The 24,761-nt window shown below is 49.2% G+C and overlaps 1 protein-coding gene across 9 annotated transcripts in view, besides 2 other annotated features; it reads left to right on the plus strand.

The window, feature by feature from the left end:
• ZC3H18 (zinc finger CCCH-type containing 18) overlaps positions 1-24,761 on the plus strand; it is a 61,562-nt gene that overhangs the window by 1,927 nt on the left and 34,874 nt on the right. For 3 of the 9 annotated variants that reach the window (NM_001294340.2, XM_011522863.2, XM_017022934.2), the window contains exons 2-4: positions 4,781-5,397; positions 14,271-14,355; positions 15,213-15,284. In NM_001294340.2, coding sequence (NP_001281269.1) covers positions 4,795-5,397; positions 14,271-14,355; positions 15,213-15,284 — 760 coding nt within the window. In that variant the 5' untranslated portion in view covers positions 4,781-4,794. The remainder of the gene's footprint in view (positions 1-4,780; positions 5,398-14,270; positions 14,356-15,212; positions 15,285-24,761) is intronic. The other 6 variants (XM_047433609.1, XM_047433613.1, NM_144604.4 and 3 more) reach the window with 3 other exon arrangements.
• Positions 17,192-17,486: an enhancer, noted in NCBI's record as "tiled region #13594; K562 Activating DNase matched - State 17:Gen3'". NCBI's record gives its function as "activates a minimal TATA promoter and a strong SV40 promoter by Sharpr-MPRA in K562 cells {active_cell/tissue: K562}" and the evidence as "EXISTENCE:reporter gene assay evidence [ECO:0000049][PMID:27701403]".
• Positions 19,382-19,631: an enhancer, noted in NCBI's record as "active region_11357". NCBI's record gives its function as "activates an Ori minimal core promoter by ATAC-STARR-seq in GM12878 lymphoblastoid cells {active_cell/tissue: GM12878}" and the evidence as "EXISTENCE:reporter gene assay evidence [ECO:0000049][PMID:35858748]".

Consider the following 24,761-nt stretch of genomic DNA (forward strand, 5'->3'; position numbering starts at 1 on the left):
GTCTCACTCTGTTGCCCAGGCTGGAGTGCAGTGGCAGGATCTCGGCTCACCGCAACCTCCTCCTCCTGGGCACTTATTTTAAATTCCTTTCTGGTAGGCAACAGGTAGTTCCTCAATTAACGAGTTTTTTGTCATGTATTCAACAAATATCTATCAAGTATCATCTGCCAAATGCAGAAAGCAACGGAGACGGGACGATGGGCACTTGTTATTTCATTCCTTAGGCAAGTTCACCCATCTGGTGGATCAGAGGACTAAGGATTTAGTTCTAAATTGTGCTGAAAATCTTCAGTTATAGATAGTGTAAGAAGACCAAACTGAGCACAAATTGCAAACGTGGGTATCAGTTGAGACTCTTCTACTGACACCCCTGTCTACACTTCTCATTTCATTGTCTACACTTAAGAGGCCACGTTTCCCTTCGTAGCACCTTATTACTATTTTTTGAAACGGAGTCTCACTCTGCTACCCAGGCTGGAGTGCAGTGGCATGATCTCGGCTCACTGCAACCTCCTCCTCCTGGGTTCAAGTGATTCTCCTGCCTCAGCCTCCTGAGTAGCTGGGACTACAGGCACGTGCCACCATGCCCAGCTAATTTTTGTATTTTTAGTAGAGACAGGGGTTTCACTGTGTTGGCCAAGGTGATCTCGAACTCCCAACCTCGTGATCCTCCCGCTTCAGCCTCCCAAAGTGCTGGGATTACAGGCATGAGCCACCACACCCAGCCAATTGTGTGATTTTTAAAACTAGTTTGAGGAGACATTTAGTTTTGCATAAAAGTTGGTTTATTTAAGAGATCACTTTGTTTCCAAGGTTGACATTAAACTATAAAACATGAGAATCAGAATTTGTCATATTTCAGGTCTGGGTTCAGCTTGGGGCATCCTACTGGGCACCAGGCGCTCCGCTTAGGCAGCTGGGGAGATGTGAACTACCTGCCCTTCTATGAGGAAGATGTTTATACATTGTAATAAAAAGTGTACGAAGATAGTATAGGGTGTTACTAATGTCGATAGCTAGGCAAGAGAGAGAATTGCCAGTTTGCCACCGGTGACTTACTGCCACAACCCCACGCAGACTCCCAGTCTTGAACAGTCAGTGCGTAGAGGCCTTAGCAGCCTTGGTGCTTTTCATCCTTGCTTTTGTTGCCTTGGGCTGCAGAAATGCTCTGTGCATCAAGCGCCCCTGTGATACTGTTTGGGGATCAGCTCCTTGACTTTCCCATTTTCAGCAGTGTATACCAGTTTAGGACTACCTTTAATAAAAAGACGAGGGTCTTACCATGTTATCTAGGCTGGACTCGAACTCTTGGGCTCGAGTGATTCTCCCACCTCAACCACACAAGTAGCCGGGATTCCAGGTACATGCCACCACTCCTGGCTTAGGACTGACTTTTTAATAATTCCTCCCAGTAGTCCTGTCTCTGGATAGTAACCGAATAGTGTACTTAGAAAACCAAAAAGTGAATCATTTTCAGAACTGTCTGCTTTTAAGTGACTTGGAATGGATTGGTTGGTTTGTAAATCTATGTTATTGCTAACCATTTAGGTTTTTTTTTTTGAGACGGAGTTTTGCTCTTTTTGCCCATGCTGGAGAGCAATGACACAATCTTGGCTCACTGCAACCTCCGCCCCCCCGAGTTCAAGCAATTCTCCTGCCTCAGCCTCCCGAGCAGCTGGGATTACAGATGCCCACCACCATGCCCAGCTAATGTTTTGTATATTTAGTAGAGACAAGGTTTCACCATTTTGACCGGGCTTGTCCTGAACTCCTGACCTCAGGTGATCCACCCGCGTCAGTCTTCCAAAGTGCTGGGATTACAGGCGTGAGCCACCACCCTTGGCCCATTTAGTTTTTATAAAGTGATGAATTTTAAATGATTTGAATTTTCTTTTGAGACGGAGTCTCGCTTAGCCACCACCTAGGCTGGAGTGCAGTGGTGTGATCTCGGCTCACTGCAACCACTGTCTCCCAGGTTCAAGCGATTCTCTCGTCTCAGCCTCCCAAGTAGCTTGGATAACAGGCACCTGCTATCATGCCCAGCTAATTTTTGTATTTTAGTAGAGACCGGGTTTCACCATGTTGGCCAGGCTGGTCTTGAACTCCTGACTTCGGATGATCCACCTGCCTTGGCCTCCCAAAGTGCTAGGATTACAGACGCGAGCCACCACGCCTGGCCAGATTTGGGTTTTTTTGGCTTTTTTGTTTTTTGTTTGAGTCAGGGTCTCACTCTGTCACCCAGGCTGAACTGCAGCCTCAACCTCCTAGGATCAGGTGATCCTCCTATCTCAGCCTCCCAAGTAGCTGGGACGACAGGTGCCCTACCACACCCAGCTAATTTTTTTTTTTTTTTTTTTTTTTTTTGGTAGAGATGGGGTTTTGCTATGTTGCCCAAGCTGGTCTAGAACTCCTGGACTCAAGTGATCCGCCCACCTCAGCCTCCCAAAGTGCTGGGATTACAGGCATGAACCACCGCACCTGACCAATTTGTTCTAATGTATCTTTTTTTTTTTTTTTTGAGACGGAGTCTCGCTCTGTCGCCCAGGCTGGAGTGCAATGGCGCGATCTCGGCTCACTCCAAGCCCCGCCCCCTGGGTTCACGCCATTCTCCTGCCTCAGCCTCCCGAGTAGCTGGGAACACAGGCACCCGCCACCACACCCGACTAATTTTTTGTATATTTAGTAGAGACGGGGTTTCACCGTGTTAGCCAGGATGGTCTCGATCTCCTGACCTCGTGATCCACCCGCCTCGGCCTCCCAAAGTGCTGGGATTACAGGCGTGAGCCACCGTGCCCGGCCTCTAATGTGTACTTAATCTTAATGATTTCCATTAACAGCAAAAAAAAAAAATGTTTAACTGTAGGTTGATACCAATTCTTGATACTGTGCATCTTTAAACAGGTTGTATTAAAAGTATAAATTTAAAAGATGAATATTTTTATCTTTAGTGTGTATGGTTATTTGAGATACAAGACATATAAATGTGTATGTGTATGACTTGCTGCGTCCGTAGTTATCTTGAGATGAATAATCTGTTTCCAGACCTTGCCGAGATGCCGAGCAGTGTGACCGTGACATACGTTATTTTAACAGCCTCACAGACTGAACAGTCAAGTGACCGCTGACCTGGCACTGTCCCTGCTGCTCCACACTCACTTGGTGGTGACTAGCTGCCCTGGTAGTGGTGGTGTGGCAAGTGTTTGCCAGGCAGGTGTTGCCGTTCTACACCTTCCTACCCGTCTTAACACCGTCCACTTTTAAAGCATGGGTAGCAGTGTACTTTCTATGAGTTTTTGAGGAGGGAAACTCGAAAATATTAACTTTATAATTTAATCTGGATTAGTAAAAATAGGAATGAAGTCTGAAGTGACCCCGTCTTTTTTTGTTTTTTGAGTTTTTTTTGGAGATTGGTCTCACTCTGTTGCCCAGGCTGAAGCACATTGATGCAGTCTTGGCTTACTGCAGCCTCCACCTCCTGGGCTTAAGCGATCCTCCTGCGTCAGACTCCCAAGTAGCTGGGAATATAGGCACGCACCACCACACTCTGTGACTTAGTTTTTGTTTGTTTGTTTGTTTTTGTTTTTGTTTTGAGACGGAGTCTCACTCTGTCGCCCAGGCTGGAGTGCGGTGGCGCGATCTCAGCTCACTGCAAGCTCTACCTCCTGGGTTCACGCCTTTCTCCTGCCTCAGCCTCCTGAATAGCTGGGACTACAGGCGCCTGCCACCACGTGCAGCTAAGTTTTTGTATTTTTCATAGAGACGGGGTTTCACCGTGTTAGCCAGGATGGTCTCGATCTCCTGACCTCATGATCCACCTGCCTCGGGCCTCCCAAAGTGCTGGGATTACAGGTGTGAGCCACCGCGCCTGGCCTGAATTTTAGTATTTTTTTTTTACAGAGACAGGGTCTCACCATGTTGCCCAGGCTGGTCTCGAACTGCTGGGCTCAAATGATCCTCCCGTTGCAACCTCCCAAAGTGCTGAGATTGTAGATGCGAGCCACCGTACCTGGCCAGCCTCGTCTTTTACATACGCGCGGTACTTAAGTGTGTCAAGTTTCCTGCCAGAGTTCTTTTCGACAGCAGCTACCTGTATGGGAAGAGGGGTTCTCAACTTAGGAGTGTGAGTTGCTGAGCGGGTGAACACAGCCCTCTCGACACCTGCTGGAGGGGCCAGTGAACACGCAGGCAGGGCTCTGAGCCTGCATTGCTAAAGGGCAGCCAAGGGATTCTCGGAGGCCCTCAGAGGCTGGCCTTCGAGAAGTGTGTTCAGTAACAGAAAAGGCTCCAGACTTGGACACTGCCGAAGGCTGGCCCAGGTTCCTGCTTCAGGATGACTCCAGAAAAATGGTGAGATCTGGGCCTGCAGTTTTGCTTCCTCGTTCCATGATACAGTTTATCTTTAATTTCAAAAGTAAATACTCCTCTAAGAATTCACACAGCTGTCCTTTGCGATCCGTATCGTTACTCACTTTCTGTTAACTCGTGTGGGCTGCCCTTGAGCGGGGAAGGGCTAGGCCAGGCTGCGTCTCCTTCTGCCACATCTCATTTTGCCAGATTGCCAAAAACGGGAGGCACTTAACACCCAGCTTAGCTGAGCAGTCTAGCCTTGTGGAGTGGAGTTATGGCCTGTCTTTCTCTGCAGAGTGGAGTGTGGGATTTGGGGCAGGGCCGTGTGGGACCAAGCAGGATGGAAGTCCTGCTGCTTCAGGCCAGGAAAGTAGGGACAAGGTTTGTTTTCCATTTTGCTAAAGGCTGTCAATCTGTATTCTCTCTTTTGCAGAACCGTGGGTACCGATGGATGTGGCCGAGAGCCCTGAACGGGATCCTCACTCTCCAGAGGATGAAGAGCAGCCACAGGGACTCTCGGACGATGACATTCTGAGGGACAGCGGGTCCGATCAGGATTTGGACGGGGCGGGGGTGAGGGCTTCTGATCTGGAGGATGAGGAAAGTGCAGCCAGGGGGCCGAGCCAGGAGGAGGAAGATAATCACTCCGACGAGGAGGACCGGGCAAGTGAGCCTAAATCCCAAGACCAGGACTCAGAGGTGAATGAGCTGAGCCGGGGCCCGACCAGCTCCCCCTGCGAGGAGGAGGGGGACGAAGGGGAGGAAGACCGGACAAGCGACCTTAGGGATGAGGCCTCCTCAGTCACCAGGGAGCTGGATGAGCATGAGCTAGACTACGATGAGGAGGTTCCTGAGGAGCCAGCTCCCGCCGTCCAGGAGGACGAGGCTGAGAAAGCGGGGGCTGAGGATGATGAGGAGAAAGGCGAAGGCACTCCCAGGGAGGAGGGGAAGGCTGGTGTTCAGAGTGTGGGAGAAAAGGAATCCCTGGAGGCTGCCAAGGAGAAAAAGAAAGAGGACGATGATGGAGAAATCGATGATGGGGAAATAGACGTGAGTATGATGGAGCAGAGCGTCGCGGGGCATCCTGCCCAGCAGCCTGACATAGACTGGTGCTGGAAAGGAGGGACTCTGTGTGGGACTGACTTAGTGATTTGTTACTAGGGATGGTGCAGGAGAATGAGAGGCTTGTTTTGGGTTCAGTCCCATAGTGATTGGAGAGAAAGAGCCAGAAATCGAGAATGAGCAGAGGCAGCTCCAGAAGCTGCCAGCAGGGTTTCCGTGGCCCTCGGCCGGCCAGCTGGTGGGATTGTTTGGGTTGTAGTGAAAGGTCCAGCGCCCAGTGTTTTTAGGTTCTAGGAATGAAGGGTTAATGTCTGTCCTTGTCTTTGCCGTCTTCAAGTGATACTCAAGTTAACACTCAACCAGAAACCACGTGGGTTTCCACTCTTGTCAGGTTTTTGGACTGAAAAGAATGAGGAAATTTTCCATCTGGTTTTGGATGTTTTAGGCATTTTTATGCTGGTCCTAGAGCCTGACCTCTGGAGAGGGCACCAGCTGGGCCAGGCCTCTTTGGACATATCCCTGAAAAGACTGTGGTGGGCACCTCAACTTCTGACAAAGCCAGCACACTTTTTTGTACATTAAATTAATGTGGCCTTCAGGTTGAGGGGAAGGTAGTACTATCTATGATCCTAGGTATGGGTAGGTGGGGTTTTCTTAGCAGTTGATGCCGTTGGAAAAACTATGAGTGTTTCGGGAGAAACACCCCAAAGTCCTCCTGAGTGATACTTGCCGGAGCTATTGAACTCAAAGGAGGTGAGCAAGGGACAGAGCAGTTGAACTGAACTGGGTTTTTGTTGTTTTTTTTTTGAAAGATCCTGGGGAAGGGGATTGTGCTTATGGGGAGTCATTGCGGTGAAGAGTGTCTGCCGAGAGTATCTCTCTGATGTCATGCTCTGGGTTGAGGCAGGTAAAGGCTGCCAGTTAGATGTGTAACCGCCGGTTTGCCTTGAATGCCATGCTCCTTTTTTTTGAGAGAGAGAGTCTACCCTGTAACCCAGGCTGGAGTGCAGTGGCGCCATCTCAGCTCACTACAGCCTCTACCCCCAGGTTCAGGCAATTATCCTGCCTCAGCCTCCTGAGTAGCTGGGATTACAGGCGCCCGCCACCACTGGCTAATTTTTGTATTTTTCGTAGAGATGAGGTGTCGCCCTGTTGGCCAGGCTTGTTTCAAACTCCTGACCTCAGGTGATCCGGCCGTCTCAGCCTCCCACAGTGCTGGGATCACAGGCGTGAGGCACCACGCCCGGCGGGTGCCATGCTTCTCCAGTAGCATGCTGGCGTGCGTGCTCTCAATGCACGTTTGGATATGACTTTCCGGCCATCGCTGCTCTCTGTGGCACTGCTCAGTAATTTATAGGGTTTGAAGTATTGCTCATGTGACTTTACGGGACGTGTGTGCACCTGCAAGCTGAGAATTTTAGATGTTTCATCTTTCCGCAGCGAAGTGTAGGAAGTGGTCTCCTCAGCTAGTGCTTTTTGCAAGAGGAGACCTACCCCAGGGCTGGCAGAGGGAAAGGAGAGACGGTGAGATTCAGGTTCATCAGCTGGGGGAGCTGGTTGGGTTGAGGATGCCCATGAGACTGAGTTTTTGTGTCCTGGGGGTAACAGCCCTGTCTGCACCACCACTGGGAGTGCAGCAGGTCCTGCACCCAGGGCTCTGGCGTGCTCTAGTTCCTCTTAAGAGGACTGGCTGCAGACCCTCAAGTCTTGGGGGAGATTCATCAGACGGATCAAGGGTCCCCATAGTGGTCCTGAAAGGCCATGTCTGTGGAGCATACTGTGAGTTCTCAGTGCCGCACCATGGGCGCGGGCGGTGCGGTAGATGGGTCCAGCTGCTCTGGAGAATGGCCCTGGCTGCCAAGGGCCTGGACATGCTGGTTTCCCCTAGACACAGCACATGGAAGAAAAACCCCATTTGCCATTTTTGCCTACCTAGACCTTGCCTGCCCTGCCTGGCACCGTCTTGTGAGGGGACCCACAGTTGAAAACGGAGTGCTGCTGTGGAAACCCCAGCACAGCTCCCTTGGCAAACGGGGAGGCAGGTTTCTTCCACCGCACAGACTGCCTCCAGCGCCCCACATCCCCCATAGGTCTGTGCTCCTGGACACCAGCACAGGTGGACCTTGCTGTGCCACATGCTGAGTGTGACTGGGCAGGGCGGAGCAGAGCCCGCTCCTGCTGTGGGGGCAGCAGGCCTTTAACCAAGGTGGGCAGTGCTGTGAATGGTGGGTTCAGCCTCTACAAGAGCACATTTGACTTCAGGCCCCTGGGTTGCTTGCCCCAGGAGCCCCCGTGGTCTCCTCTTGTTCCCACGCCCAGCAGCGTTTCAGGCTCCTCCATCCTTTATGTGTCAACCTCAGCATTTGCGTAGGCTGTTTCTCTGTTGCCTCTGCCTCTCTGTCGTGACACAGGTTCATCTGTGTGTGTGTGTGTGTGTGTGTGTGTGTGTGTGTGTGTGTGTGTGTGTGTGTATATGTATATGTCTCTGCCTGCTGCTTCCCCTATTCCCAAGAACATGTTTCCTAAGACTGGGGGCTACCTGGCTGGTTCCCCTATCTCCCTGGGGCCTGGCACATAGTGGGCAGCCAGTCAGTAGAGGAATCCTACTTGCCCGGGGCACATTGAAGGTGAGAACCTTTGTAATGTGAAGTGGCAGTGAGTGGAAGGTCCACGCTCAAGAGCCAGTCACAGATGGAAGGGAGTTCACGTGAGCAGCATCAGCCCTCCACCCTTGTGGGAAGGACCCAGCAGAGGTACGCGCCACGCCATCCTGTGCATGAAGAGCTGCCGCTCCGGCTGCTTCCAGCTTTTTCCTCCTCTCAGGCCCAGTTCCAAGCCTGTCGTCCACTCTTGCATCTCTGCCGTATCTCCACCAAGCCCACCTCCTGTGCCTGCCTCTTTCTCAGAGGCCCTGCTGCATTCCTGCCCCGCGCCCTGCTCCCTGTCTCTAGCTGGGTTTCTCTGATGGACTGGGAGCCCTGGGGTGCGCCGGGTCCGTGAGCAGTCAGCTTCCCACCAGGCCTTTCGCCCGGTCCCCTTTCCTTTCAGTCCCTGGAAAGCAGCCTCTGCGTGTGGTGCAAAGTGTCCGTTCTAGAAGACATTTTTCTCGTTGCTTTCAAGTAGAGCCCTGGTGTCACGTCTACTACCCAGATGTTTCTCTGTGGAAGAATTACTCTCTTTGGCCTGTACCTTCGCAAATGGATGTTTCTGAGGCCTCATAGCATTCCAGGTCCCAGCAGGGTCTTACCGGCCCAGTCAGGAGAGGGACTGATTCGCCTAGAGGCTTTCCCTGCATGCCTGCAGCCTCGTGGCCTACCCCTTGGCACCCTGGTCTACTGGATACCTGGAAGGATTGAATGGCAAAGTCTAGAGAGCCGTTTGATTTGGCATTCTTTTCTCTTTTTCTTAGTTTTGATTTTTAATTTTTGTTGCTTTTAATTTAAAAAACAGATGGGGTCTCACTATGTTGCCCAGGCTGGTCTTGAACTCTTGGCCTCAAGTGATCCTCCTACCTGGGCCTCCCAAAGTGCCAAGCCACTGTCCCTGGCCTGATTTATCATTCTTTTTCAGAAGCGCTTTCTCTTCTCTCAGGGCACATGTCCCTTTTAGATTTTGGGTCACTGGGACAGGTGAACTGATTATGGGGTACACTTTCCTTGATCGGGACATCAATTTGTACAATAAGCCCTTGAAATTGTTTAAACCACATAGCTTGTGCCTAAGGCCTTGAATCTGTGTTTGGTATGCTGCCAGAACACCCCCTGATGCAAGTATCTTCTGGAAGTGCCGCTGGCCTGCGTGGTGGGGTGGAAAGTTTCCGTACAGGGCTGGGACCAGCAGTTTGCAGCACCTGGCTCATTTGTGGTGTGGGTGAGGGCGTCCCTGACACCAGCTGACCTTCAGTCACCGGTCTCTTACCTGTTCAGGAAGCGGCATGGAAGAGAGCTGGGTGCAGCAGGCCTTGTTTTTATGCTCCTGCCGTCCAAAGAGTGCGTGGAGCCCACCCTGACCCACTCATGCCATGTGGCAGCCTCTCCTTTCTCCTGCACGTCTAGTCTCTCCCCAGAACCACCTTTCCTGCTGGGAGATGACAAGCTCCTTCCAGCCTGGCGAGGCTCTGATTTGCCGTTACAGTTGAGAGGCCTGGCCTGGGTCTGTCTGCCCGCTCTTTTGCTCACTCCATGTTCCGTGTTTATATCTGACTTGACATTTGATTAGCAGGCCTTCCGTCACCTGGAGCACACTGGCCCTTGGAAAGGATAGGGTTCCCATTTTGTTCCATTCTCCTCTTATTGAGGACCTCCTACATTTGTAGGGTGGCCTCCTAGTCAGCCAGCAGCGCAGTGGGCCCTGTCCTGAGTGGGTGGGCCACATGACTCCTGTCATAATTGGTAGCTCTCAGTCCACCTTTTGGAACATTTTCTTTGCACATGGTCTTTAATATTTTCTCCTGTTTAAATCCACCTTTCCTTTTTCTTTTCTTTTTTTTTTTTTTTTTTTTTTTGAGATGGAGTCTTGCTCTGTTGCCCAGGCCAGAGTGCAGTGGTGCGATCTTGGCTCACTGCAACCTCTGCCTCCCGGGTTCAAGCGATTCTCCTGCCTTAGCCTCCCGATTAGCTGGGATTACAGGCATCCGCCACCACGGCCAGCTGATTTTTGTATTTTTAGTAGAAATGGGTTTCACCATCTTGGCCAGGCTGGTCTTGACCTCCTGACCTCGTGATCCACCCGCCTTTTATGTCTGGATCCATGAGCTCTTCTGCAGAAGATTCTTCAGCGAGCCTCATGGCTGTGGGTTTCCACTTCAAGTGGGGTTCTCTTCCGTGTCACTGATAAGGTGCCAAGTGCGCCCATTCTATTGCCAAAGCCCAGGAAGCAGCGGCCTGTACCACACTTGGAAAAAGGGCCCCGTAGCATCAGTAGTAGGCTCAGAGACCTTCTGTGCCCCTTAGCGTGGTTAGTGTTCCACATAGCCACATGAAAAAGCGCAGGCCACCGTCCTTACAGCTCTGAGGCCTCAGAAGCTCTGAGAACTGAAACCTTTTCCTCACCTGGTGGCAGACCTGGCCCAAGCTGGCGTGAGGCTGCTCATAGCCTCCTGCCTCCCCTCTTGTGGGAGGGTCCCCGAGACCTCTGCACAGGATTGCTGTGTACCTCGCAGGCTACCGTTTTAGACCCTGTGTTGTCACCTTTCTGAAGCCAGAATATTTCTGAATTCTCAAGACACCTGGCCCCACAGGTTTCAGTTAAGGAATGATAGACCCGTATTTTCACCCACATCCTGCAGACAAGATGCCCAGGATTCAGGAGGTTGTGGTTGGCCTGAGTGGCCGTGCCAGGTTGGGCCCGGGGCCCGGCTGCTCGGCTTCCTCTGGCACAGCAGCTCCACGCAGTGGCCCCCTTTCCTTATCTGCATCTGCCTTTGTACAGAAGCTCCAGTGTGAAATAACTTTTTTCTTGTTGTGTAAGTAATACATGTTCACAGTGTTCTTTCTATTTAAGAAAGGAAAAGAAAAGGCTGCACAAAGAAGAAAGCGAAAATCCCCTGTGTCATTGCTCTGAGTTAGTCCTGTTTAGCACGTTACCAGTGAGGCGTTTCCTTTGAAATGGAGGACTCAGGCGCGCTTGCTGAGCACTTGCTGCTCATGTTTTAAGCACGGTGCAGCATTTTCCTTCAGCCCACATCACCCTGCTCTGGGGCACTTGCCCCGTGGTGCAAAGGGGAAGGCGAGCTTTGCAGATCAGGTGACTTTTGCAGATCAGGTGACCTGTCCACACTCACAGTCATGACAGCCTGGACCCAGGATTTGAACCTGGGCCTTTTCCCCCACTGCATGTGAATTTTATAAAGGCTCTTAAAATTGGAGTAGATGATGCCCTCAGCCTGGTGTCCTTTATCCACGTGTGTATTTCCCCTGTGGTGAGAAAGCACCAGCAGGAGTGTGCCAGCGTGGAGACCCGGCTTCAGATGGGTGCACTGAGGCCTGTGTGTCTCCTCACACTCACCCTCAGTGTCCACGTCAACTTGGCCTGTCCCAGGTGGTGTGTGTTGAGAGCCCCACGGGCACCATCCGTTTTTAGGCCAATTTGTAGCTAGCTGGTCCACTCAGGCCCCTCCTTGTCCTCTGCTTCCTACTCTCTGTGGCTCGGGTCACATGAGCAGAAGGCCATCGGCGTGAGGGAAACCAGGAGACCCGGAGTTCCTGCGTGGCAGACACTTAGTGTGACAATCTCAGATGACTTCAGCTCTGGGTCCCTGTCTTGAGTTGTCTTTGCATGATATTCTAAAATTTAAGAACTTGTTTTAATTATCCATTATTTAGTGATTTGTTTATTTATTTTGGGAGGTTAAATATTTTGTTATTTACACATATAAAGTAAGAATAAAAATTGGGCACGGAGGCTGGGCGTGGTGGCTCACACCTGTAATCCTAGCACTTTGGGAGGCCAAGGCGGGCAGATCACCTGAGGTCAGGAGTTCAAGACCAGCCTGGCCAACATGGCAAAACCCCGTCTCTACTAAAAATAACAAAATTAGCCAGGCGTGATGTCGGGCACCTGTAATCCCAGCTACTCAGGAGGCTGAGGCAAGAGAATTGCTTGAACCCGGGAGGCAGAGGTTGCAGTGAACCGAGATCGTGCCACTGCACTCCAGCCTGGGCGACAGAGCAGGACTCTGTCTCCAAAAAAAAAAAAAAAGCATGGTAATCATCCATTATTTAAAAGACCATTGTGCTAAATGGTGGTTAGTTGAAAATTCACAATATTATATTGCTGAGTGATTGGTGGATTATTTTTGTTTGTTTGATTTTTTAACTGAAAGGGGCCATAAGCCCAGCACACCAATATGTACAGCCCCTGGTCCTTGCGGGTGTAGAGGCTGGGTGACTGGGGTCAGTGTGTAGGTGCTAGTCTGTGTTCTTTGGGTTGAAATGATGTCTCGCACCTTCAGTATGCAACTCTGGTCTGTTTACCGATCACCTTTAGTAGCTACAGGGTCCTCCCTCCAATCTTAAGGTGGTTACATTGTTCTCCTTTTTTGCTTCTGTGAATGTTGGTGGTTACATCTTTGCAGAAACAATGCTACATCTGATCTAGTTTGTTTCCTATTCATCCTGATGCGGGAAAAACCCTTCTCACCACCTCATCTCCTACACGCTCACTTCCAAGTAAGGCAGGAAGATTGGAATGGATTCGAACTTTCCAAATGAGTTTTGTTTTTCTCATGGGAACAAAGAATGTGTTCTCCACTTAGATTTGAGCTTACATAGAATACCACGTTGAGATTTTAGTGTGGTGCTCATTACTGTAAGAATAGTAGTAAAAAGAAGACACAAACTAAAAGACCAGAGAAGAGAGACATCCTGTCACTTGGCATAAATTAAACATGCCTTCTCTGATCATTTCTTTTTTTAATTTGTTATGTTTGATCATTTCTTTAAAAAGTGATTCTGCTGGATTACTTAAGGGATATAACTCTCAGGAATCTGTTCTTTTCCTTATAAAATACTTTTTAATAACCAGATATCTTTGAGGCAAAAAATGATGCAAATATTTAAGCTGTGAAAGTTTAGGTTGTCGTAAATCCAGGGTTTGGTTTCAGCATTTTTTCATTCAACAGATAATTACGGACTGTTTACTGTGAGCCAGATGCTGCCTGGGCCCAGCAACTTGGCGATGGGCCTGCCCTGGCAGACGTGGGCCTGCCCTGGTGGGGCACAGGGTTCAGCCAGGCAGGTGGTGGTGTCGTCAACACAAGGGTGCTCAGGTGTGGCTGCAACACCTGCAGGGCTTGGGGCTGCAAGGACCTGTCGTAGGGGGAGCTCAGGGAAGGCCACCCCAAGGAAGGGGACTCAAGCTTCCATCTGAAAGTAAGTTGAATAATCAGGAAGAGGAGAGGGAAGAACGCGGTCAGGCCTGGAACTGGAAAAGGGCGCTTCACACTGTGAAGCGAGACTGGAGGAGTTGAGGAGGGAATGAGAGAGGTCAGTTAGAAAGTGGTTTTACCAGGCTGGGTGTGATGGGCAGTGGTGCAGATTGCAGGAGATGGGGAGGGGGATCAAGAGGGGCCACATGGGACCGGTGAGATTGGTTACGCTAGGGCTGGCTGGAAGAGGCCGGGATCAGGCTGACGAGTACTTCCATCTTGGATGGTCCTGTGTCAGGGATGTCAGGTGGGCAGCTGGTGCCCACGTGGGCTGGGGTGGTGTAAGGAGGGGTCTCAGCTGCACGTCCGTGGGAACAGGCCCTGGGACAGTGGGTGGCTTGGGGAGAGCACCAAGCAAGGGTCAGGTTTGGCTGTGCACCCGAGTCCCTGTGGGTGAGGCCCAGCTTAGAGCTCCTGGGTTGTTCTAAGACTTGACAGTCAGGGTGAGGAGCTGGTTGAGGATGAGCCTCAAGGCGGGCCACTCCCAACTGCTGGCATCACTGCCCTGAGGCACCCAACTCCTCCCCTCCCCAAGAATTGTAAATTAGAGGATGTTTGTGTTTAAGGGACATAAAATATTTTGTTCTCCATATTTTATTTAAATGTTAAAAGTTTTAAAACCCCGAAGTGTTACTATTTCCTGCCCAGAGTTGATAGTTAAGAGAAATGTCACGAAAGCCCACTCTGTAAATTGCCCTGTGTGCTGCACAGTGCTTCTCCCTGGTGCTGTGGCGGGATGCTTAGAGCTGCCGGGCACGCTCTGATCATCCCTGCTATGTAGATCTGGGACCTAAGATTTGGAAAATTGACGTGAATTCAATTCCTGTGACAATATCCAGGTTCCACACGCAGCTTCCTGCCCCTTCTGGTTTGGAGAAAGCAGTGCTGATTGATAGATGCCTCCCCCACGCTAAGACGGTGTTCTCTGTTTCAGGATGATGACCTGGAAGAAGGTGAAGTGAAGGACCCCAGTGACAGGAAGGTGAGGCCTCGTCCCACCTGCCGGTTCTTCATGAAAGGTAATTGTCTGCGTGTGAGGCCTTCTCGCAGCCAGCTGGGGCCCCACCTTCTGGGGCTGTGGTGCTGGCTCACCTTGCCAGGCCCTGCTCTGCTCAAGGCAGTTCTCTGGGCATTACTGGCTAGGTGGTGGTGGTGGTGGTGGTGGTGGTGGTGGCAATATTGATGGTAAACAATAGGCCCTTTTATTGGTGCTTTTATCACTTTAATGACTGCCTTGGTGGGAGCAGCCTGGTCATTCTCATTCTCACACTGGTGGTCCCAGGCCCTTCCGATCGCAGCAGACCCATAACTATAATGCAGATGGCATCAGTCATTTTTCAAAGTGGTCCTTTTCATAAGGCCGAATGTTCTAGACACCAGAATTAGCATTTTCCCCACCTCTGTAGAGATGGCCGCTTTTCCTGCAAGATGTGTCCGAAGCGTTTGTTCGTGTGGAATGGATTTCGAAATGGCCAGAGATGGCCGCTGAAGGCAGCAGGGCTCTCTCCTGTAGAAGGAATGGTGTGAGTTCAGGAGCTGCAGCAGGGGACAGTGTAAGAAAGTGTCAGAAAAGTCTGGGCTGACCCATTTTAAAATGTGGCAGAACTCTAGCCTGATGATGTTAGGGCTTTTTGTTTCGCTGCTTAATGTCTTGGGGGATTCGGAAATGGAAATGAGAATTTCCAACTTGTAAGGGTATCTTTGATGTGCAGCAGTAGTTTTGGCATATTTCTTGTAATTCAGCGTTCCCCTTGGAAAGGTAGGAAGGTGTTTTTCTCTTTTCTCTTAATTTTGCTGTAAGCCCATAGATGACTGTCACTGCCAGCCTGTGTGTGCCATCTAAAGCTCACAAGAGCTTCCTGTACTTCTTTTCCAGATGTTGTGACACCATTATCCACTCTTCTTCCACCAATATCCAATTCCATACCATTCAGAGGCCAGGTTAAAGGTACAAAATACGCTATATTCACTCTCTTCAGTACCTTAAAGTCCCCCTACTCCAGAGGCCAGACTTCCTTCTCCTGGATCCAGAACACAGCTGTGAAGCCAGAAGGAAAGGGGGTCTTTGAGGGGCAGAGAGCTGTTCGGAACCTCCTCCTTAGAGGCACGTGAGCCAGTCGAGCATCGGGGACAGGCAGGACACACCCTTGGGGTGTGGCGGAGTCCCATCATTCAGAGGCAGGCTGTGCTCTTAGAGCAGCCGGGAACGCCCCTGTGCAAGAGATGACCTGATGATGTGGGGCTCATGGGAACCCCGGGTTAGGCTCGCTCCTGTGGGTGTGTGCTTGCTTGGTTTTGCCAAGCAAAAACAGTTGACGTGCCCAAGTCACACGTGCATGTGAGGGGCCCCTACTGGGGAGAGCCTGTGAGGGCAGCAGACTTAGAGCCGTAGATTGTCACAGACACACCTAAGAATGCAGAGAAATGTGCGGTACGTTTTGGAAAAGCTTTGGTATTCACAGTGTCAGTATTTAAAGAAATTGGAATTTAAGCAGAAGACCTCTTTTCCATAATAGTGTGGGAATTAACAACATCAGTGTCTCAAATTTCTGTATGAAAGTGATGGAGAACAATCTGTACACATGTACGTGTACACATTTGCAGTCATTTTGAATCAGCACCCATCACAGTGCAGTGCTCTGGTCTCTGGGTGGCAGTGTGACTGGGAAGCTTGACCGGCCAGTCGGCGTTGGCCTGATGGTTCCAACTGCAGGAGGCTGCAGCATCCACCAGGGCAGGGAGACTCTGGACCAGGAGCCCAGGGCTCACTGCTGAGCTAATTCCAGAATTTAACAACAGAAGCACAAAACAGACAGAGAGATGGTTACTGGAACTCTTCATTCCCTTCATTGGGAGATGCCTGGATGAACACAGACAGGATCCTGTCTCCTTGCACATCACGTGGGTTGGTCAGAATTGGAAGGTGGTGCCCCCAAAGTTAGACTAAGTACTGAGTTTGGGTTTCAGCAAGTGAGACCATGTGGAAGGGTTTCTACAGTCAAGAAAGGAGTTTGAGACCAGCCTGGGCAACATAGTGAGACCTTGTCTCTACAAAAAATGAAAACTTAGCAGGGTTTGGTGGCACGCATGTGTAGTCCCAGCTACGTGGGGGGTGGGGGCTGACAGGGGCAGATCACTTGAGCCTGGGAAGTTGAGGCTGCAGTTGTGCCATGATCGTGCCACTGTACTCCAGCCTGGGCGACAGTGAGACTCAGTCTCTTGAAAAAAAAAAAGTCAGAAGCTAGATAAGGCAGCATTTTTGCGGCTTAATCAGGTGTTATCAATAACTCATTTCAGAAGTGTTTTTATTCTGTAGAGTGAGGTGATACGGTACAGAGGAAGTGGCTGATTCTTACCGTTTTCTAGATCATGTCTTCTGCTGCTGCTTTGTTATGAGAAATTTGGACTTAAATGTTTCTGCCTACCTGCAGTTTATATGAAATTGAAATTCTTCAGTTTATGATCTCTCCAATAACAACAAGTTATTTTAAAAACAAAATGAAGTTTGTTGTGTTGGCAAGGATATGGAGATGTTGGAGCCCTCATTCACTGCTCGTGAGAGGGTAAAACGGTGCAGCTGCTTTAGGAAACAGTTCCTCAGAAGCTCCCGGGTACCCACTGTATGACCCAGCAGTTCCACTGCAGGTATGCAGCCAAGAGAAACGGACGTGTGCATTTATGTGAAAGCTTGTGCATTAATGTTCACAGCAGCATAATTTCCAGTAACCAAAGAGAAACAACCCAGGTACCCAAAAAGTGAGGAATGGATAAACAAGTGTGGCCTGTCCATGCAGTGGAATGCTACTTGGCCATAAAGGGAATGAAGCACTGGCTCATGCCACAATGTGGACAAACTTTGAAGACGTGCTGAGTGACAGAAGGGAGCACAGAAGGCCACAGGTCCACAGAGACAGAAAGCAGATTGTGACTCACGCCGCAACGTGGACGAGCCTTGAAGACGTGCTGAGTGACAGAAGGGAGCACGGAAGGCCACAGATCCACAGAGACAGAAAGTAGATTGTGACTCATGCCACAATGTGGACGAGCCTTAAAGACGTGCTGAGTGACAGAAGGGAGCACAGAAGGCCACAGATCCACAGAGACGGAAAGTAGATTGATTCCTCGTTGCCTGGACTGGGGGTGGAGAGTGATAGCTAGTGAGTACAGGATTTCCTCTTTGGGGTGATGGAATGTTCTAGAACTAGCTAGTGGTGATGCTTACACAACTTTGTGAATATACTGCAAACCAGTGAATTGTACACATTAAATGGGAGTATTTTATGTTATGTGAATTGTGTCACAATTAGAAAATTCTTTTCTTAGAAAAAAGTCGGTGGCTGGGCATGGTAGCTCATACCTGGAATCCTAGCACTTTGGGAAGCTGAATGGGGAGGATCACTTGAGCCCAGGAGTTAGAGACCAGCCTGGGCAACATTGCAAGAGCTCATCTTTCTTTTTTAAATTACTTGTAGAGATGGGATCTCACTATATTGCTCAGGCTGGTCTCAAATACTAGGCTCAAGCAATCCTTCCACCTCAGCCTCCCAGAGTATGGGGATGACAGGCATGAGCCACTGCTCAGGCCTCTCTTAGCTTTATCTCCGACACGTTGTGATATAGAGATTAATCATTTAATCGCTTAGTGGACACATTGAGATTTGTGACCAAATGACAGCAAAATGCACTGGGAACACACCTTGCTCACATTTTAGAGATCAGTGCTTTGTGTACGCCTGCCCGGCTCCACAGCACATACACTACAACTGGAGCTGTACTTCTTCATGGGATGTTTTTATCTCTCGTGGGCCTGTGTTGGATCATCAGGACACAAAGTTCTGTCCACAGAGGAGTAAGTAGCATCTTCTTTAAACTGTGTCCCACTTTGGGTTTCTTTATTTCTTTTTTTTTTTTTTTTGAGACAGTGTCTCGCTCTGTCACCCGGGCTGGAGTGCAATGGTGAGATCTCGGCTCGTTGGAACCTCCACCTGGGTTCAAGCTATTCTTCTGTCTCAGACTCCCGAGTAGCTGCGATTACAGGCATCTGCCACCACCCCCAACTCATTTTTGTATTTTTAGCAGACATGGGGTTTCATCATGTTGGCCAGGCTGGTCTCGAACCCCTGACCTCAGGTGATCCGCTCACCTCAGCCTCCCAGAGTGCTGGGATTACAGGTGTGAGCCACCACACCCGGCCCCTACTTTGGGCTTCTGATTTATCCCTCAGTGAACAAGCATCCCAGTCCATTTTTTGGGTCTGATCTCCTTGGCTGTGCTCCCCCTAATTTTTTAAAATTGTGGTGGAATACTTTTTTTTTTTTTTTTTGAGATGGAGTCTTGCTCTGTCACCCAGGCTGGAGTGCAGTGGCACCATCTCGGCTCACTGCAAGCTCTGCCTCCTGGGTTCACGCCATTCTCCTGCCTCAGCCTCCTGAGTAGTTGGAACTACAGGCGCCCGCCACCACGCCCAGGTAATTTTTGTAGTTTTTGGTAGAGACGGAGTTTCACTGTGTTAGCCAGGATGGTCCCGATCTCCTGACCTCGTGATCTGCCCTCCTCGGCCTCCCAAAGTGCTGGGATTACAGGCGTGAGTCACTGCACCTGGCCTTCTGTCTTTTTAAGACTGAATAATAGGTGCGGTGGCTGATGCCTGTAATCATAGCACTTTGGGAGGCCGAGGTGGGTGGATCACTCAAGGTTAGGAGTTCGAGACCAGACTGCTCAACATGGTGAAACCCTGTCTCTACTAAAAATACAAAATTAGCTGGGGGTGGTAGAGCACACCTCTAATTCCAGCTATTTGGGAGGCCAAAGCAGGAGAATCGCTTGAACCCAGTAGGTGGAGGTTGCAGTGAGCCAAGATCACACCACTGCACTCCAGCCTGGGCAACAGAACGAGACTCCGTCTCCAAAAAAAAAAAAAAAGATTGACCAATATTTGTTAGTGTGGAGCAGCTGCATTGGGTGTTTCCCTCATCTGTGGGTGGACACTTGGGTGGTTTCCACCTCTAGGCAATTGTGAATAGAGCTGCTGTGAACGTGGGCGTAAAAATCTCTTCAGACCCTGCTTTCAGCTCTTTCGCATGTGCCTGGCAGTGGAGTTGCTGATGACCTGGTGGTTGTGTGTTTCATCTTTTGTGGAACTGCTGGCAGCGGAGTTTCTGATGACGTGGTGGTTGTGTGTTTCATCTTTTGAGGAACCGCTGGCAGTGGAGTTGCTGATGACCTGGTGGTTGTGTGTTTCATCTTTTGAGGAACCGCTGGCAGCGGAGTTTCTGATGACCTGGTGGTTGTATGTTTCATCTTTTGAGGAACCGCTGGCAGCGGAGTTGCTGATGACCTGGTGGTTGTGTGTTTCATCTTTTGCGGAGCCGCTGGCAGTGGAGTTGCTGATGACCTGGTGGTTGTATGTTTCATGTTTTGAGGAGCCGCCAAGCTGTCTTCCACAGTGGCTGTGCCATTTTACTTTCCCACCAGTGGTGTGGGGGCTTCCAGTTTCTCCACGTCCTCACCATTACTCTGTTCTCTGTTTTTTTTTGATAGTAGCCATTTCAGTGGGTAGGAGGTAATATCTTACTGGGTTTTGATCTGCCTTTCCTGAAGATGGGTGGTGGGGTGTCTTTTTTCATGTGCTTAATAGGTCATTTGTGTATCTTCTTGGAGAAATGTCTTTTGCTCAGTTTTGAATCCTTGCAAAACTGTGTTTAAAGCAGCAGGTCTGAGTGTCATCTGTGAACCCCTGGGAGTCCTTGAGACCCTTTCAGGGGACCCTGAGGTCAAAACTATATTTATTTATTTTTCTTTTTCTTTCATTTTATTTTACTTTTGTGAGATACAGTCTCCCTCTGTTGCCCAGGCTGGAGTGCAATGGCGTGATCTCAGCTCACTTGCAACCTCCACCTCCCGGGTTCAAACGATTCTCCTGCCTCAGCCTCCCGAGTAGCTGAGATTACAGGCGCATGCCACCATGCCTGGCTAATTTTTGTATTTTAGTAGTGGCTAAATTTTGTGTTTCAGTTGGTCAGGCTGGTCTCGAACTCCTGACCTCAAATGATCCGACCGCCTTGGCCTCCCAAATCGAAACTATATTTATAATAACAGTAAGGCTGAGCCAGGCATTCACCATGCACTGGCATTTCGAATGCCACTTTACTTCATGTCTGTGCTGTAGTAGTAAGAACTGTAATTTAATTAAATCTTACACTTGTGTACAGATGTATTATTTATTTTTATTATTCGTAAGTTCTTTTTAAAAAACTTTATTAAAGTAATATTTATGTGCCATGAAATTGACCCATTTTAAGTGTACAGTTCCATGATTATATAAGCATATCCCTATGATAAAGTTTAATTTATAAGTTACGCACAGTAAGAGATTAACAACAATAGCCAATCATAAAATAGAGCAATTGTAATAAAAATGTGAATGTGATCTCTCAAAAGAGCTCACTTTACTGCACTCAGCCACTCAGCCATCTGATGACGTGGGATGAAATATGCTCGCATGATGACACGGAGGCCCTGCCACTTAGCATTGGGCCCCCCTTGACCTCCTGCCAATGCGTCAGAAGGAAGGTCACCTGCCCCCAGTGATCCTGGGTCACTGAGCCACAGTGAGCACAGCACCGCCGTACCCCCAACGGTTGTTGGCCAAGAGGGCTGCTAAGTGACTAGTGGGCAGTTAGCGTCGTGGACAGCTTGCATCTGCTGGACAAAGGGATGATTCGTGTCCCAGGTGGGGCAGAGGAGGTCGGCACAAGATTTCATCACGCTGCTCAGCACAGAACATCATTTAAAACTTAGGAATTATTTTTGGAATTTTCGATTTAGTATTTTCAGACGCAGGTAACTGAAACTGTGGAAAGCCAGAAAGCAGAGCTTCTGTGTGTGTCTCAGTACTCAGCGTGGTGGAGTGGCAGCGTGGGTAGAGCCCCTGCCGGCACCCAAGTCCAGCGGCCTCAAGGGGCAGCACGTGCAAGGCTGGAGCTGCGGCTGACCCTGTGCGCTCTCCGTGGAGCACACATTGATGAGAAAGACTGGCAGACATGCCAGGGAATGCAGATCCGGGTCCTGGCAGGAACAAAGTGAGCCTGTGGCTTCAAGGAGAACAACGGACAGTGTTAGCAGTATTAAAATTGGAGCTTTCAGTTGAAAATTGGACTTTTGTGTGCTCACCAGCTTCTCAGTGTGTCAGGACTTTCTCAGGTGACCATTGCAGGATGTCACAGAATCATGCCTGGGTAAAAGACCCATTCAAAGTTCAAGATAGACCAATGGATTTCAGAAGAACCAAGTTGGAAAAGTGTGGTGATAGGGTTCAATTGCAGCTCGCTGTAAGGAGCCTTCCCTTGCTGAGTGCGGTGTCAGGGAGAAGCTCTGAGCACACTGAAAAGGCTTTTAGATGCCCCTCCCTCTCTAGCTGCATCTCTTCCTGGGGCTGTAATGTCCTCTCCTGCTTGAGCCACAGCGGCCCTTCATGGTCGATCGCATGCAGATGGGAGGCCAGGGGTTTTCCAGGGTCAGCATTCAAGAGATTCGCAAAAAGGCAAAGAATGCTATTCCTCTCACCAAATATTTTAAAAACAGTTTCATAAATATTTGTTACTATATATTGGATATCTTGTTATTGTTAAATAATGAGATATCTTTAAGTGTCTCTTAATTTCTAATATCGTACGTATCAATAGAAATGACACATATAAACCAAGTAAACACAGGGAATTGATATTTACTGTATTCAAAATCAGAAGAGACATTTAAAGATACTTCATGTGTGGGCTGTGCTGGAGCATGAGCTGAGCCTCAGTTCCTGCCACCTCTGTGTTTAGTTTCCGGATTTTCCATGTTTCCTATCTGTTTCCTGTCTGTTTCCCTGATCCAGTTTGGGTTGGTTGCTACTGAGCATGCAGGTTCCCTTTCTGTAGTTACATTGTTTAGTGAAAAAAAGCAAGGTTCAGCACAGAGCATAATATATATGCTCAGGTAAAAGGGGGCAATGATTGATGGATGGAGCCCCAGTATATTGATAACTGCCTCTGGGAATGGCCCTGGAGGCATGGGATAGGTGGTCAACTTCACAGTGTACCTTTTAGAGTGGGTGGGTATTTTTTATTTACAAGTATTTCATTTGATTATGAAATATTTCATATATATAAAATAATACAGTGTTTACACAAGCGTAAAGATTAATAAGAGAATAAAACAGTTGGCTGGGCGTGGTGGTTCATGCCTGTAATCCCAGCACTTTGGGAGGCCGAGGCGGGCGGATCACCTGAGGTCGCAAGCTCAAGACTAGCCTGACCAACATGGAGAAACCTCGTTTCTACTAAAAATACAAAATTAGCCAGGCGTGGTGGTGCATGCCTGTAATTCCAGCTACTCGGGAGGCTGAGGCAGGAGAATCACTTGAACCTGGGAGGCGGAGGTTGCAGTGAGCTGAGATTGTGCCATTGCACTCCAGCCTGGGCAACAAGAACAAAACTCCATCTCAAAAAAACAAAAACAAAACAAAAGAAAAACCAGTTGCTGCTGTGCCGACATTCCAGTTAAGAAAAAGACCATCATCCTGTCTTGAAGCCAGAAATAGTACTTAGACATTTCAGCAGTGGAGGGGCCGCCTCCGCCCCGCTCCAGCGGCCTCTGTCCCTCCTTGTCCTCTTCTGGCCTGAGGCCATGTCTGTGTACACAGTATCCGCAGAACTATCTTTATACTGTTAGAATCACAATCCACATAAATTTTGGGTTTGAAGTCCCATTTGTAAACCAGAAGATCTTTATTGTTGCTTCTATTTTCTGGATAATTTCTTTCTTTCTTTTTTTTTTTTTTTTTTTTAACAAATTGCTTTTTAAATTATGAAAGTAAGGCTGGGGACGGTAGCTGACACCTGTAATCCCAGCTCTTTGGGAGGCCGAGGTGGGCGGATCACCTGACTTCAGGAGTTTGAGACCAGCCTGGCTAACATGGCGAAACCCTGTCACTACTAAAAATACAAAAATTAGCCGGGCTTGGTGGTGCACACCTGTAATCCCAGCTACTCGGGAGGCTGAGGCAGGAGAGTTGCTTGAACTGTGAGGCAGAGGTTGCAATGAGCCTAGGTCGCTCCACTGCACTCCAGCCTGGGCAACAGAGCGAGACTCCATCTCAAAAAAAAAAAAATTAAAAAAAGGAAAGAAAGTAATATGGGCTGGCAGAAGGCAAGAAAATAAAATCTAAAGCCCCTTCCCACATTCCCGACAGTTGGGTGTGTTCCTACACAGATAAAAGTTCACATTTTAAAAAGATAGATGGGACAATGGTGTTCTTTCTGCCTGACGTCTGCTGGAAGTGTGTCCCAGCTAGACGTGCAGACCAACTGTGCTGCTTTCCAGAGCCATCTTCCCCTTTACTCTGGCCAGGGGCAGGACAGCGCTCAGCACCCCCGGGCAGGTGGCTCCCGAGAGCTGAACACTGTCACCCACTAGTGTCTGGTCTCTAGTGGCAGCCCCACGCTCGCCTTCTCAGCTTGCTCTTTGGCGCTCACTGGTTTGTTCTCTTCTGCCTTGTTCCTCTTTTCTCCCCATGCCAATATCAGTGAGAAAGGATCTTTTTTGATAGTAGGTTCGTAGGTGATGTCCTAAAAATTTTCATAAATACAGAAAAGAACGATAACATTTAGCCACCACCCAGATACATATTTTAGATGAAAAAGAAGTACAGAGGCCGAGTGTGGTGGTTCACGCCTGTAATCCCAGCACTTTGGGAGGCCGAGGCTGGCAGATCACAAGGTCAGGAGTTCGAGACCAGCCTGACCAAGTTGGTGAAGTCCCGTCTCTACTAAAAATACAAAAATTAGCCTGGCATGGTGGTACCCGCCTGTAATCCCAGCTACTCAGGAGGCTGAGGCAGGAGAATCACTGACACCCAGGAGGTGGAGGTTGCAGTGAGCCGAGATTGCATCATTGCACTCCAGCCTGGGACTGTCTCACTCAGTCAGAGTGAGACTCCATCTGAAAAAAAAAGGAAAAGGAGTACAGAAAAGCTGTGGTTTCTATTGTCAGCACTTTTCTGTACTTGGACATTTTTTACAATGAGCTTTTGTTACTTGTTTAGTTACACACGTGATTTTGAATACTGCATGAGTATTTTCAGAGGCAAACCATGAAGAGCTCTGTAGTGTGTTGAGTCTCAGATGGATGACTGCATAGTCAGTTTTTCTTTAAATCTCTCTGAGGCTCTGGATTTTTGAACCCCCTATAGAATAACATTTCCCAACCTCTTTTGTTTTTTGTTGTTGTTTTTGAGAGAGACTCGCTCTGTTGCCCAGGCTGGAGTGCAGTGGCACGATCTCGGCTCACTGCAAGCTCCACCTCCTGGGTTCACGCCATTCTCCTGCTTCAGCCTCCCAAGTAGCTGGGACTACAGGCACCTGCCACCACGTCCGGCTAATTT

This window comes from Homo sapiens, chromosome 16 (assembly GCF_000001405.40).
Source record: "Homo sapiens chromosome 16, GRCh38.p14 Primary Assembly".
NCBI lineage: Eukaryota > Metazoa > Chordata > Mammalia > Primates > Hominidae > Homo > Homo sapiens.